Source organism: Homo sapiens, chromosome 8, assembly GCF_000001405.40.
Source record: "Homo sapiens chromosome 8, GRCh38.p14 Primary Assembly".
Classification (NCBI taxonomy): domain Eukaryota; kingdom Metazoa; phylum Chordata; class Mammalia; order Primates; family Hominidae; genus Homo; species Homo sapiens.
Window position 1 is genome coordinate 84,275,243 of NC_000008.11, and position 15,973 is coordinate 84,291,215.

General features: G+C 36.7%; 1 protein-coding gene across 53 annotated transcripts in view, besides 1 other annotated feature; it reads left to right on the plus strand.

Annotated features, from left to right (window-relative positions):
• The window catches only part of RALYL (RALY RNA binding protein like), a 739,058-nt gene that overhangs the window by 92,456 nt on the left and 630,629 nt on the right, over nt 1–15,973 (plus strand). The gene's annotated exons all lie outside the window — the stretch shown is intronic.
• Nucleotides 15,116–15,678: an enhancer, noted in NCBI's record as "OCT4-NANOG-H3K27ac hESC enhancer chr8:85202593-85203155 (GRCh37/hg19 assembly coordinates)". NCBI's record gives its function as "activates a minimal SCP1, AML or CMV promoter by ChIP-STARR-seq in naive and primed H9 embryonic stem cells {active_cell/tissue: H9 hESC(naive and primed)}" and the evidence as "EXISTENCE:reporter gene assay evidence [ECO:0000049][PMID:30033119]".

Here is a 15,973-nt window from a genome sequence, read left to right on the forward strand (position 1 = left end):
CTTGCTATTTTTTGAGTATTTTGTGCATGTATATTAAATGTAATCTAACTTGTTGGTATATTTCATAACTGCACTGAGAAGTAGGAATTATACATGAATTTGCTGCCAATATTAAATTCGGAATTCATATTACAAGCAACTTACATTTGTAAAATCAGTACTAACTTTTTTGTTACTGCATTTTTAAATTGACAGATAAAATTATGTATTATGTACAGCATGATGTTTTGAAATATATATATATATATATATTATGAAATGGCTAAATCTAGCTAATGCACATAGTTACCACTTTCATGGTGAGAACCCAACATCCACTGATCATTTTTCAAGACAGTATATTGTTATTATCTATAGTCATAATTTTCTGCAATAGATCCATTGAATTTATTCTTTCTATCAAATCGAAATTCAATATTCTTTGACCATCATCTTCTCAATATGCCAGCCTGCCCAACGCCTGGTAACCAACATGCTACTTTCTACTCGGTGAGATCAACTCTATTAGACTCAGTTGAATATTTATTTCTTTTACAAGGATAGCCTTTGGAAAGATGAAATAGCCAATCTAGTCAGTATTTAAAATTTTCTTAGCAAGATCTTTACAAATGTCATGCTTGAAATGAGTTAACCAGAAGTCAGTAGCCTTGAGACATTTTTTGTTTTTATATTCTATAATGCAAAAATTAAATTTACTTTGGCAAACTAATTTTTAAAAAAAATATATCATTCATCTAACCAGTCTGCACTCGGTGGCATATAAAACATCACATTGCTTTTTTATTATGCTTTTATTCTTAAAACATAACATGTTAACTGTACTTTTGCCATCTATACATATTATTGATGTATGTATTATAACCTCTGAAGTCAAACTCCATTGGTAATACATTGTTTTATTTTTTGTTTGTTTCTTAATAATCTATGGTGTTTTGAAAAGAAGAGCTTTGGAGACTGACTGAATCTGAGCTCTGACACTTATTAGCTAATACGAATGTGGTCATGATTCTACTGTTTTTGAATCCTAAATTATCAAATACTGAAATGTGTTATTGGGAAGGAAAAGTGCTCTAGCATCTGTAAGGCACCTTTATGGACACCTTTATGGAACCTAATGTGGCTCAGCAAATGGGATTTCCCTCCCCTGTCTTTACTGAACCTCACTTCCAGTAATCTTTATTATTTTGCATTTTACAAAACATTTTCTTCTAATTCCTGCTTTTTGAACCATATAACATCTTCCTGCGGTAAGAAAGAAAGCTGTTATCTCCATTTTGCAATTAATCAAACTGAGAAGCAAAGTTGAAAATAGGAGACATAAAGTATACTTCTGGAAAGTTTATTGAGAGGCATCAGAACTAGGCCTGCTATAGTCATCCTATTGACTCAGTCCTTGTGTCCTTATAAGCAGATAACAGTGAGATGAAAAGGAATTTAAGAAGAATCCCTGAGAACAAGGAGGAGATGAGTGCTAAATGAGGTTTGATATTTGACATTTAAGTTGGACTAAATTTGGAATTGCTCTAGTCATTCTTCAGGGACAGGAAAGAGTTGTATTGTGACTGAAGAATAAAACAAAACTAATATTTGTTAATCTAGAAAAGTTTAGACTTTTCAATGAAACATTTACAATGACTAGGTTACAATTTTATGTGAAAACATATTGTCATCATTCTGTCTTCATGTCAGGGATAATCAAAAAATAAACAGATAATTTTTTCCCTAAGAAAAGCAATGCTGATGTAAGGTGAAGAAAGCACGCAGCTGCCATTGCACAAGGTTTGATGCTCATCTCTGTATATTTTTATATCTCTACTGTGTCTTTGCCTTATACCTTTAATATTAATGTAGCATTTACTGTATTAGTCTGTTCTCATGCTGATAATAATGACATACCTGAAACTGGGTAATTTATGAAAGAAAGAGGTTTAATGGTCTTACAGTTCCACATGGCTTGGGAGGCCTCACAGTCATGGTGGTAGGCAAAGGAGAAGCAAAGGCACATTGTGGCAGGCAACAGGCCTTGTGCAGGGGAGCTCCCATTTATAAAACCATCAGATCTTGTGAGACTTATTCACTACCATGAGAACAGTATGGGGGAAACTGCCCCCATGATTGAATTATCTCCACCTGGTGCTTCACACATGGGGCTTATTATAATTAAAGGTGAGATTTGGGTGGGGACACAGCCAAACCATATCATTCTGCCCCCAGCCCCTCCCAAATCTTATATCCTCACATTTCAAAACCAATCATGCCTTCCCAACAGTCCCCCAAAGTCTTAACTCATTTCAGCATTAACTCAAAAGTCCACAGTCCAAAGTCACATCTGAGACAAGGCAAGTCCCTTCTGCCTATGAGCCTGTAAAATTAAAAACAAGTTAGTTACTTCCTAGATTCAGTGGGGGTACAGGCATTGGATAAATACACCTATTTTAAATGGGAGAAATTGGCCACAACACAGGGATTACAGGCCTCATGCCAAGTCAGAAATCCAGCAGGGCAATCAAATCTTAAAGATCCAAAATGATCTCCTTTGACTGCATGTCTCACATCTAGGGCATGCTGATGCAAGAGGTGCATTCCCACAGCATTGGGCAGCTCCACCCCTGTGGCCTTGCAGGATACAGCCTCGCTCCTGGCTGCTTTCATGGGCTGGCATTGAGTGTCTGTGGCTTTTCCAGGTGCACAGTGCAAGCTGCCAGTGGATTTACAATTCTGGGGTCTGGAGGATGGTGGCCATCTTCTCACAGCTCCACTAGGCAGTGCCCCAGAGGGCACCCTGTTGGAGGGCTCCAACCCCACATTCCCTTTCACACGGCCCTAGCAGAGGTTCTCCATGAAGACCCTGCCCCTGCAGCAAACTTCTGCCTAGACATACAGGAGTTTCCATACATCCTCTGAAATCTAGGCAGAGGTTCCCAAACATCAATTATTGACTTCTGTGCACCTGCAGGCTCAACACCATGTGTAAACCAGGGCTTGGGGCTTGCACCCTCTGAGCAATGGCCTGAGCTGTACATCGGCCCCTTTTAGCCACAGCTAGAGCTGAAGAGTCTGGGGTACAGGGTGCCATGTCCCAAAGCTGCATCAAGTGGGGTCCCTGGGCCTGGCCCAATAAACCATTTTTCCTCCTAGGCCTCCAGGCCTGTGATGGGAGGAGCTGCCATGAAGGTCTGTGGAGACATTTCCCCCATTATCTTGGTGCTTAACATTTGGTTCCTCGTTAATTATGCAAATTTCTGCAGCTGGCTTGAATTTCTCCCTAGAAAATGGGTTTTTCCTTTCTATTGCATTGTCAGGTGCCCAGTTTCCAAAATTCCATGCCTTGCTTTCTCTTGAAGGCTTTGCCATGTAGAAATTTCTTCTACCAGATACCCTAAATCGTCTCTCTCAAGTTCAAAGTTCCACAAACCTCTAGGGCAGGGGCAAAATGCTGCCAGTCCCTTTGCATAGCAAGAGTGGCTTTTACTTGTCAGTGTCAGTTCCTAACAAATTGTTCATCTCCACCTGAGACCACCTCAACCTGGACTTCATTGTCCATATCACTATCAGCATTTTGGTCAAAGCCATTCAACAAGTCTCTAGGAAGTTACAAACTTTCCCACATCTTCCTGTCCTCTTCTGAGCCCTCCAAGTGGTTTCAACCTCTGCCTGTTACCCAGTTCCAAAGTTATTTCCATGTTTTCAGGTATCTTTATAGTAGCACCTCACTCCTGGTACCAATTTACTGTATTAGTCTGTCCTCAGGCTGTTAATAAAGACACAGACAAGACTGGGTAATTTATAAAGGAAAGAGGTTTAATGGACTCACAGTCCCACATGGCTGGGGATGGTGGAAGGCAAAGGAGAAGCAAAAGCATGGCTTACATGGCAGCAGGCAAGAGAGCATGTGCAGGGGAACTCCATTTATAAAACCGTCAGATGTCATGAGAACTTACTACCACAAGAACAGTATGGGGGAAACTGTCCCCATGACTCAATTAACATCACCTGGCAACACCCTTGACATGTAGGGATTATTACAATTCAAGGTGAGATTTGGGTGGGGACACAGCCGAACCATATCACTTACTATGTTTGGGATGTTCCTCCAAGTTCTGTGGTTTCTGCAGCCAACAAGATAGGTAAGTTTGATGTCCATATTAAAGAGTTTTTATTCAAAATTGGACAGATATATTTATGAGATTCAGAAAGCAGGAAATTTCAGGTAGAGGTAAGTGTTATGAAAGAAAATAAAAATGAAGTGTATTAATCTTCTATTGCTATTACTGGCTCAAAGTTTCTAATAGAAAGTTTCTAGTAAAAGTTCTAATATTAGAACAAATTCATTATCTTACATTTCTGGAGTCCAGAAGTCTAAAGTCAAGGTGTTAGTAGAGCTATGTTATTTGTGGAGGCTTTGGAGGAGCATCCACTTTCTTGCTTTTTTTCAGATTCTAGAGGCCCTCCCCTCAATTTTTTGGTTTATAGCTTTTTCCTAGTATCACTACAACCTCTTATTTCTGTCACCATATCTTTTTACCACTGATTTTTACCTTCTTGCCTCCCTCTTACAGGGACTCTTGTGCTTATACTTGTGGCCCACTCAGCTAATCCAGGATAATTTCCTACCTCATTCTCATAAGAATCCTAAATCTCATTTGCAGTGTATATTTCACTAAACAAGATAACATATTTACAGGTTCTTGGGGTGAGGATGTGGATATCTTAGTTGGGCAGAGTTTTTCAGCCTACTGAGTGAATATAGATAACAGAATAATCTTGAGTGGACAGGGCATTGTCAGATTGGATGTTCATGGTTGGTTTATTTGAAGTAGTAACAGTTCAGCTGAGGTAGAAATGCTGAAAGAACTGCTATAATGGCTTTCTCTGAAAAGAATTATCAGTACCTATGAGATGATACAGTCTACTGATTCCATGTGACTATACCATTAAAATCATGTCTCAATTATGAATATACAGTGGTATATTTCAATTTGCCCTTGAAAGCTTTTGACAGCAAAATACTTACATTAAATTTCAGCAACTTGTGATATCTTTAAAGTATCTAGATGAGAACTCTAGAAGTTTCTCATAGGTTAGAAAACAATATACCAAAATTTCTACATGGAAAAATATTAATTTACAGATATTTTTAAAATTTCATTGAAAGGGAAGATATAATATATCCACCTACTTTCCTAAAACGACTAAATAAACAGTATGTTACCAATTTTTATTTTATTTACAAAGTTTAAACAAAATTAGTTTATATTTCTAATTTAGGGAGTTGAAAAATTTCAGACAGAGGTATTATTAGAAACTTAGTAATATATTTTTATTTCTGGATTTAACACCACACACAGAGTACATCACCATACCATAATAAAGGTCAACAAAAAACTCAAAGACCCTGACTTTATCTTTGCAGCAATTATTTTGCCTTAAGTACATCATAGCTTAGCTTTGAATTCATAGTACCCAACAAAGTACATATATGTCTCTACATATACATATATAACACATATATAAATATATATAATATACATATATATGTATACATATTTTAACTGGAAGATGGTTAAACTCTTCCCACCCATTAATGATTAGTCCGTGTGAAAATACATTTTTGGGTAGGAGATAATATTTTTTATTATTCCATGAAGTAAAAATATGAAGAGTATTCAAACTGACTCTCTTGCTTATTTATTTTCCACATTTAAAACTCTGTGATGTTGTGAGCCTGTGTTTTCACACTTCAGTTTGCATAGGGAGGAGGTGCATTATCACCAGGATAGATGCTTGTGTGAATGAGCAGTCCAAGCTGATAGCTATGCAGCACTTTCATTAGCACTGGAAAGTGGTGTTAGCATGACTATACAGAGGTTTTTCTTTGGCTTGACTCCTAGCTTGCTTTTTGATTTTGATTCTGGATTGAAGACTCAATTTGTGGTGGGACATCTAAGTGGAGCAATTTCCTAAAATCACTTGGGATACTGGAATATCTCTGGATGCCTAAATATCTCTGGGTAATTTTAGATACATGAACAAACATGAGGTTATTTTTAATGTTGATTTTATTATATCAGTTTTGCTAAGTATCATCACTTGGAAGGAAAATTGAGATGGAGTATTTTATATCTCCTCACTTATCAACACTAAGATGCTTTGTTCGAATTTTTTTTCTCAAAATGGATAAAAGATGTAAGGTTTTACAACATATGAATGAAAGAATTTAATGCTGGAAGCTAAATATAACTACACAGAGTGTCCTCTCTTGAGCATATGGCACTGTTCATTCACCTGACTCTTGCCCTACCCTCCTTTCCAGAATTATCTTCTTCTAATTCCAGTATGTGAATTATTAAACATGTTTGGGAAAACTCAGCAGAAGCTAGTCTTCCCCAGATATCCATCCCCAAACTTTTCTTTTTCCTTCTTTAATCTACTCACCTGAAAGTAATAAGAAAAATTGTATGTGTATGTGTGTGTGCACGCATGTATATATGTAATCTCCAAGTGTATGTGTGTGTGCACCCATGTATATATGTAATCTCTAAGTGTATGTGTGTGTGTGTATATATATATTTACACACACATACACATATATACACATGCACACATACTCTTTCCCTTCACGGCCAATGACTCCCCATTTCATTTTGAACTTATGCCTGAATTCTACCATGATCTAATCCCTGCCTGCTTTTCACACTTCATGTTGATGCTACTCTTCTATTTGTACTCTATGATTTAGCCATTAATGTGCCCTTTCAGTTATCTGAGCATGTGAAGTTTGCTGCTGCCTAAAGAAATAGTACATGATAGTCTCTGTGGAAATCTCTTGCCCCTCCTCTGTATTTGCCTGTCCTGTTGTCCATGAGTCTTTGCCTTAAGATGTACAAGCTCAAAGAGACTTTTCTGTCCTGGGAATTTTCTCTAAGTGACTTCCTTCTTTTATTCTCTATCACTATAGGTATTATCTGACATATATTTACATGTAGCGTTGAAAAATTATAATTTTGTGTATGTATTTGTTTAGTTAATTATAGTCCCTCTTTCTCACTAGATTGTAAGTTCCACCAGGTCAGGGGTCCTTATTACTTTTGTTCTCCAGTATTTATCCAGTGCTTAGTGGTATGGCTGGCACATAGTAATTGCTAAAGGATATTTGGATGAATTTTTGAGTAAATAAAACAATATTTCTATTTTTATTTCTCTCTGTTCTATATTGTCATTCCTTTCAAAGTGTGAACCTTCTGAACTACTGGGAGTAAAAAGGCAGGAGGAGGTAGGGATGAGGGGTGGTTCATAATTTTAAGGCTCTTTCTTTAGCTGCACAAAGACCCAGCCAAAATTTTGCAAGGTCCTGTTTATTCATTTGTTCTGCCCTTTTGTTGAGGTTTTGGGATTATTCAGAGGAGAATGCTATGTTGATAATTGAGGAGCAGATATCTAAGCAAGAATTAAAACGTGTGTACATATATATGTGTGTATATATATGTATCTATATATGTGTATGCGTGTGTGTGTGTGTGTGTGTGTGTGTGTGTGTATACATATATATAATTTAGATCTATAAAATCAGTTGAGTATATATGTATAGGTCACCCAGTCTTTTTGGGCTAGACCAAACCAAATGTTGGAACTTGACAAAATAGAAGAGCGCGTTCAACTAAGTGGATTGTCTGTATCTTTCCTGGTTGGAATACAAGTAGGACACTGCTCCTCCCTGTTTTAATGGCATTATGATAAGATAATCCACATGGAAATATAGTAAACAATAATTAGAATAATTATAATAATTAGAAATGTAGTCATTCCAGCTAGCTCCTTTTTAAGAAAAGAACAAAGTATAATGAAGGAATTTGAAAAGCATTTGTACCATAAAGAATAACATAATGATATGTGAAACTTAAGTGATGTATAAGAGTTGTTATGTATAAATGTTGAGTTATGTATAATGTTGAGTTATGTATAAAAGAATTATGTGTAAAAGAGTTAACCTGAGTTTGCTATTGCATAGGCTTCCTGGGCATTGCTGACCTGTTGTCTTTCTTTTGCTTTAGTCAAGTCATTGTGGGCAAAAATCATATGTTTGCACATCCATGGAGTCTTTCTGCTCTGTTTCTCAGCATCACTACCTAGAAAGAGCCATCAAAGGAAAAAAGGCAAAAGCTCTCTTTCACATTAAAAGATAGTCCCATGAGGAGAAAATGATTTCCCTTGTTCCCTCTTTCTTCCTGTGATGCTGGTTTTAGGCTATAATCCTGGAGAGGTAGCATCCATCTGGGGACCGTCATGTAATTAACATGGGGAAGAAATCCCAACATGATGCTGTAATTAAGTAAAAGAGACTAGGTCCTTATTTAGTCACTGAAGGAATCCCAGAACCAAACACCATTTTAGTGATCAAAAACATTCCTATGGTTCTGGCCACATTTAGTTGGGTTTTCTATTATTTGCACCCAAAATAATCTTTTACAGATTTTTTGCCTTTAATATCACCCAATAGATTGGCTTACCCAAGAGAAATTGCAGGAGGGGCAGTCAGGGTGGGAAGGTAGCATATCTAAGGGATTCAGAATTTTCTGGGAGGTGGAGACTTGGAATATATTTATCACATAATTCTCACAGTCAGTGAAATGGCTGATTCCCAGAAGTGAATACATATCCTAGTGGAATTATAAAAGGTATTGGTTATATGTATTAAATGGAACCTTACATTAGACCAGTAAAAAAAAATGAAAGCTATTGTAGAACAGTAAATTAAGGAAATAAATTAAAATAGGATACTGACTATAATACAAACTATAATTTTGTTGTAAAGACTAAAGAAAAGATAGAGCAACAAATCAAATAGGCGGACATAGTTGAAATAGTTGACAAAGTAGTCTTTAGAGAATTATTCCTGTATTATGATAAACTCTGGACAAAGAAAATATTGCGATGAGATGCGGTCTCATTCAATGACAGACATACTGCATTTCCTTACCCCAGATTACAAGGTGTGAAAATATTTAGTAACACTGTTTTCTTTCAATTTTCCATTATATAGAAGGTTAGTTATTTTCAGAAAGTCAAGCAGTAATGCAGAAAATTGCTCGGTTTGAAAGACTGTTTTTTAGCTTCAAAAGTCATCTGTAGTTCAGCATTAGAGAAATGTATGATGTTAGGCTATATAAAATTCATTTTTATTCTCATAATAGTGACATTGGTGTTTTGTTAAACAAACTAGCACACTTCTAGCTAAGTAATGAAATCTTTAGATTCTGAAATAAGTCACTTAGAAACACATAAGGACCAGTTATGTAGCTTTCAATTTTTTCTTGTTTACAAATGTTTTCACCACTTCATAACAGGGTTGTTCAAGGAAAGAGCAGTTTTCACTGGAAAGGATTCATAGACCATTGGCAGTGCTTTAACCTTATCACAGTCAGGCTGGGCATCTCCTAGAGATTTTTGGATTAAAGGAACTCATGAAGTCATTAATTGGAAAGAGACACAGGTTAAAATTCATTTGGCAGTGATACTTCATATACTCAGTAATAGCAGAAGATGGTTAGGGCCAAGCTCTTTCTAACTAGTATTTTTTCCATTATCTTAAAATATGTACTTTGAATTATATTAATTACAGTGAAGGATATAATAACTAGGAAACCTAAAATTAGTGTCATTTCTAATGCTGAAAGCATATTAAACATGAGGTCTGCTTGGATGTCTATTTAAACTACAATATTCAAGTGAATTTCTTTCTGTGGAAAAAATGTGAAATGAAAAGGAGGGGTGAGTTGAAGAGAGGACAAGAAGGGAGAAATGAGAGGAGAGAATTATGATTGTATATGATGTTGGAAGGCCAAGGCCTAATAAGTTCATTTTTTTCATTCAAGCACATTAATGCAGTCCTCATGAGATTATGGATGCTGCGCTAATGCCAAACACGGCTCCGTGTCATCACTCTTATAAGCTAGTAGCTCTAACAAAACCTGTAATACTTAAAATAACTATAAAGATGCATTTCAGTGCTACAATCCCAAAATATTCTTACTAGAGTTCAAAGATCTAAAAAGTCATTTAAGTATATATTCTAGAGTATAGAAAATATATTTTGACATTTGAGAGTTATCACTCAAGTAAAAATAAGTAATATATAGAGGGCTAATTATTAGTGATAATTGTTAGTAAGATATGCACATCTTCCAATTTTTTAAGATACTAAGCCTAAGGACAAACATATTAATGGGAGAAGAATAATTTTAAAATTATATAGTGTGATGGATGGTTATAAATGCTATGGAACATGGAAGGGGGATCAGGAGTACAGGGATGGTGGAGCGGGGGCATTATCGTTCTAAATAAGGTTGTGACTTAGCCAATAACATTTGATAAAGGTTTGGAGGAGGTGAGAGAAGAGTTATAGGGATATCTTGGGAAGAAGATACTTCGCTCAAGGAATAGCAAGTGTAAAGGTTCTGGGGTAAAAGCATGCCTAACATGTTGGAGGAATAGAAAGGAGGTTGGTGTAACTAATGAGGAGTAAGCAAGGGAGAACAGCCAAAGGAAGTGAGGTCAGACTGAACAATACAGAAAATTGTAGTCAGTAGTGAGGACTTTGCCTTTTACTAAGTGAGAGTGGAAGTCATTGGAGGATTTTGAGTAGAGGAATAACATGATTTGATTTATAGTTTAGAAGGACCTCTGGGTGTTTTGTTGATGGACGCCTTAGGGAGATCACTGAGGAGGCTATTATAGTAAGAAACGTGAGAAATTTTGGTGGTTTAGATCACCCAGATCACAGTGACAGCAGAGGGTGGTGACAAATGATCAGATTGTAGATACACATTGACAGTTTAACTGGTGGGGTTTGCTGATGATTGAGTTTATGGTATGAGAGAAAGAGTGAAGCCAAGGATGACTTGAATGTTTTTTTTGAGACCTCGTGATCTGCCCGCCTCGGCCTCCCAAAGTGCTGGGATTACAGGCATGAGCCACTGCGCCTGGCCGAATGTTTTTAATTTACACAACTGAAAGATGCATCAGTTGGTACAGCTATGTCTTTTTCTCTGGTCATGTTTGGTTTGTGCAAGCGGAAATAAGAATATGGTGAGAGTTAGATGTAACCAAGATTGATCTTTTATTCATGTGGGTACAATGAGGCAAGAGAATGTTAGGGAGTGGAGTATATATGCAAAGAGCTATCATTTTTGTTACCGAACTGAACTTGGGTCCATTTGTCTGGTGCAGCAAAGCTAAACATTCACATGAGGATTGCAGCAAGAGAAAGTGTGACATTTATTGCAGAGCACCTCGCAAGGAGAATCTGGGAGCTCGTGCTTAAAACCCAAATTCTTGGATGGCTTGTAGATAAGGAGGTTTAAAGGCAGGAAGGCAGAGGTTATAGGTAAAGTCATAAATCAATACATGGAGACTATATATTGGTATGATCTAGAAAGGTGGGACATCTTGAAGCCAGAGCCCACAGGTCATAAGTGGATTAAAAGATTTTCTGATTTGTGATTTGTTAAGGAAGCAAAGCTTTTTCTAAAACGTTGAGATTGACAGAAAAAAATGTTAGTTCTGGCCTCTGGGTGTGACTTCCTCAGGCCCTTCAGAAGAGGCCATTTAGAGCAAAGAATGGCAGTCAGGGTTCAGTCATCAGATCCTCCTTATCTGAGGTCTACATGCCAACAAATCCATTTGGTGGGGGTCCCGGTTTCTGGAAAACAACTTAGGGATGTAAATTAAGATGTTATCTTTAGCTTTGATAGAGGACCAAACTTCTTGTGACTCTGACTTTCTTGGCTACTGTTTTAAGCTACTGTTACTTTCTTGCTTATCAGTACTTTCTTGCTCATTTACTTCTCAGGACCAGTGAGGTGCCTGGAATTTCCTTTGGAGGAACTCAAGATTTTATTTTATTTTATTTCCATGCTTGGGAGTAGGGGTCAGGGAGTAGGCCTCTAAGAGGGATCTCCATTCCATCTCATTATGATAGGCTAAACAATTTAATTTGGATAATAAAATGGTGAGGGTGAGTTGAGGATAGTAGTGGATGAGATATGGAAACTAAGTGCTCAGGAAACTACTGGGCTAGGTTATTAGGAAGATCATTGAAATCGTCAAAATCACAAAAAGTTACAGTTGGGCTAGGTTATTAGGAAGATCATTGAAATCGTCAAAATCACAAAAAGTTACAGTTAGTTTGGGAAAGAATGAAGTCATGATCTGAAATCCTCAAGGAAGGAGGGGAATTGAGTGGCAGTTGGTAGAAGAATAAAATGAAGAAGGGTCATGGGTGGCATCTTGTTTGTTACATGAGAATCGAAAGAGGAGAGTGTAGGGAGAATAGAAGGAAATGGTCTGGAAGTGGCAAACAGAAACAACCCATTGTTTCGAAGGCCATGGGGGAAAAAAAAGCCCCTTAATAGGGCTATAAGAAAACCATTATCCTCTGTGGACACATGGGAGTAAGATGATGATAGAAATATTCAAAGAGAGTGTGTAAAATAATTTTGCTGATAATTTGATGATTAATTCTAGAAGATCCAATCGTTTCAGGAATTGGAGAATGGTTAGAAATGGGGTCATTTGGGGGATGTAGAAAGATATAAAATATTTTCATTGAGGTTGAGATATAACTTTGGAGTCTAGGGCACTCTTGATGGCTGAAGAACAAACAATCCTCATTTGTCCTGGTTCTGTGATTACTGAGATCAAAGCATGTTACTATCAAATCTCAGTCATCACAGAGCTGTGCAAAGAAAGAACTATAAGTATTCTGAAATAAATGGAATGAGATTGATCCAGCTCTAGTGAATAAATAAAGCCCACAGGCTGAGTGTCAGGCTGGAAGTCAGGCCAGTGTGGAAACAGAGCTGAGCATCGGAGGACTTATGCAGAGGACCAGGAGTATTGGTTACAGAGGTGGTTCTCCTGTTTTTTTTTGTTTTGTTTTTGTTTTTGTTTTGTTTTTTTTCTGTGCCTTAGAAATGTCTGGTTGCTTTCAAAAATCCCGACACCCAGGCCACATCCGCAGGAATCAGCATTTTAAAAAATTCCCTAAGTTGATTCCAATGGGCAGCCAATTTGAGTGCCACTGTGCTACAGTATCTCTTAATCCTATCATATGCAAATCATTGAAAATATCTGTCATGTCATCATTGCCGATTTTCTCTTCTTCAGTTGTATCTATTCAAACTGTGACAGGGCCTCATTTTTCAATGGCTTAGCTTGTTATTTAAGTAGTTGCAGAACATCACATTCATCAATTACATGAAATTCTGTGTGGAAAGTTTTTAATGTCATGTTGTATCTTTTTTCTGCATTTTTAGTTGCATCTTTTTTCTGCATTTTTAGTTGCATATTATTGTTCTATTAAATTGTATTGCCCAGTTTGAAATAATAATTCACTAACAGATGTTAACCCCATGAATGAGAAGAGATGCAAGATATTTTCATCTTACAGTTTCTTTGCTTTTCTACCTAAAAACCTGTATGTAGAGATTTGTAAAAGGAAAGATATATTTTTTCTCTGTACATTTTATTTGCTTTACAATATTTATACTTTAAGTAATTAGTATAATTAGATATTTAAAAATTCTTTTTTGCTATCGTAAATAATGCATTAATGAATACAATAATATATACCGTTTTATGCTGTAGAAGTACATATTGCACTGAACAAAGTTGAATGGCAAAGAAGATTTTATTTAAAGCTATCACAATAGGAGAGAGAAAGACCAAAATGTAGTCTGAACTTGACTGTGCCAAAACAAAGGGTGGGAAGACTTTTAAGCGCTGGGGTGAGCTGGAGACCAGAGGCCATCAGTGTTTGCTAATTAGCTTCACCCAAAGGAAAAATAAATGTTCTCTTATTGTTGTGACAGGAGGTAGTTTCATAATTAAAGCAAGGCTCCAGCAGAAGTTAGGCTTCCAGCATCCCACAAAATTGGGAAACAGCAGCACTATCTCCCTTGATGTTTACATTTGAAAGAGATGGCTGCCAGGTCCTTGAGAAAGAGATTCCTGGGTTGTAAAACTGGCAAGAGGCTTTTAAAAATATTTACATAAGGGCATAGGAAAAATTTACTATTGCAAGTTTTTTAAAGTAAAGAAAAAAATGCTGTAAGAAAAGGGAAATCAGGGCCTAGTCAGAAGGAAGCAGGTACGGAGTTTTTCCAAGCTGAGGAGAACCCTAAGGTCTTTTTGATCAATGCTTATTTCTCATTATATAAGAGGAGTTGTAAATGGCTAGGTGAGTGCAAGAATGTTTTAAAACCAGTTGATTTGTATTGGGAAATTGCGTTCAGAATATTTTTTTTTTATTTATCTCCCACTAGTAGAGTATGAGGATTTCCATTTTGCTATGTGTGTGCCAACATGAGATTGTTAAAGAAACTCTTTCCAGATTTTATGTTTATTTGGACAAATGTTTAAATGAAGAATGAAATATCTCACTTCCAATTACCAGTGAAATTAAACTTTAAAAGATATATTTTTTGTTCTTTTGTAATTCTTTTTCCAGGACTTGCCATTTTGTAAAGTTTTCTACATTTTTTTATACTGTTTATATTATTTTTAAAGACAACTGTAGTATTATTCTGCTTACTGGTTCAGAAACAAGAGAAAATCTGTATTGTACCAAGAGCTAATGAAACCTGGGTATTTGTTTTTTCCCTGGAAATTTCACACTTTTGTTTCCACTAGATTCCTTAGTTTTGAATAAAAGCAACTGGGGTAGGAGACTGTCTGGTTTGAGGATGTTTTCTTATTTTGGCTTCAGGCCAAAGGAATTGCTATATCTTAGTTTAATAAAATATTAGACGCTGATACCACTGTTGCATAGAGACAATCACTGCTTGTTGGAGAAAGGAAAGTAAATATTTTACTGTATACATCAAATGATAAGCAAAACTATCATGAAGGAAAGACAAAACTTCTTTCATGTGGCATCCCAGCCTCTCTCCCAGCAACAACCACCCACCTACAACACAGCACACCAAGGTCCATATCTTCCATGTTTTAATTGTTACATTAAATATTCTTGGTTGTGGCACTTTGATAGTCACCTCTTGTTTTCATGCGCGTCTGTGTGAAGAGACCACCAAACAGGCTTTGTGTGAGCAACATGGCTGTTTATTTCACCTGGGTGCAGGCGGGCTGAGTCCGAAAATAGAGTCAGCAAAGGGAGATAAGGGTGGGGCCGTTTTATAGGATTTGGGTAGGTAAAGGAAAATTACAGTCAAAGGGGGTTTGTTCTCTGGCGGGCAGGAGTGGGGGGTCACAAGGTGCTCAGTGGGGGTGCTTTTTGAGCCAGGATGAGCCAGGAAAAGGACTTTCACAAGGTAATGTCATCAGTTAAGGCAAGGACCGCCCATTTACACTTCTTTTGTGGTGGAATGTCATCAGTTAAGGTGGGGCAGGGCATATTCACTTCTTTTGTGATTCTTCAGTTACTTCAGGCCATCTGGGCGTATACCTGCAAGTCACAGGGGATGCCATGGCTTGGCTTGGGCTCAGAGGCCTGACACTTGTTTACATACTTTGGCCTTTTTAAGTCCCCCTATCTTTATATGTTCATTAAATTCTGAAAGCTTCAGTGTTTCTCAGTAACAACCATAAATCATTGGAGAAAAGTAGTATATTGAAATTACTGTAATACTTTTGATATGTATAATACTTTTGATATCTTTCAGATCTCTAATACTTTTGATATCTTTCTATAATACTTTTGATATCTTTCAGATCTCTTTTCCATATCTATTACTTTTATCTCTTTTCAAGTAATGAATTGATTGCGTATTCTAAAATAAACACTATTCTATACTGTTGAAATACTGAAATGAAACCCTACAAGCTCATTGTAAGGGAACAAGCTTAAAAGTATGTAATTTCAGTGAAGTATATTGGAACATAGGCTTCATAAAAGGTATAAAAAGAAGTAAGGGAAAAGAGGACGGTGAGACTAAAGTTTACTGAGTGATTTCTAACT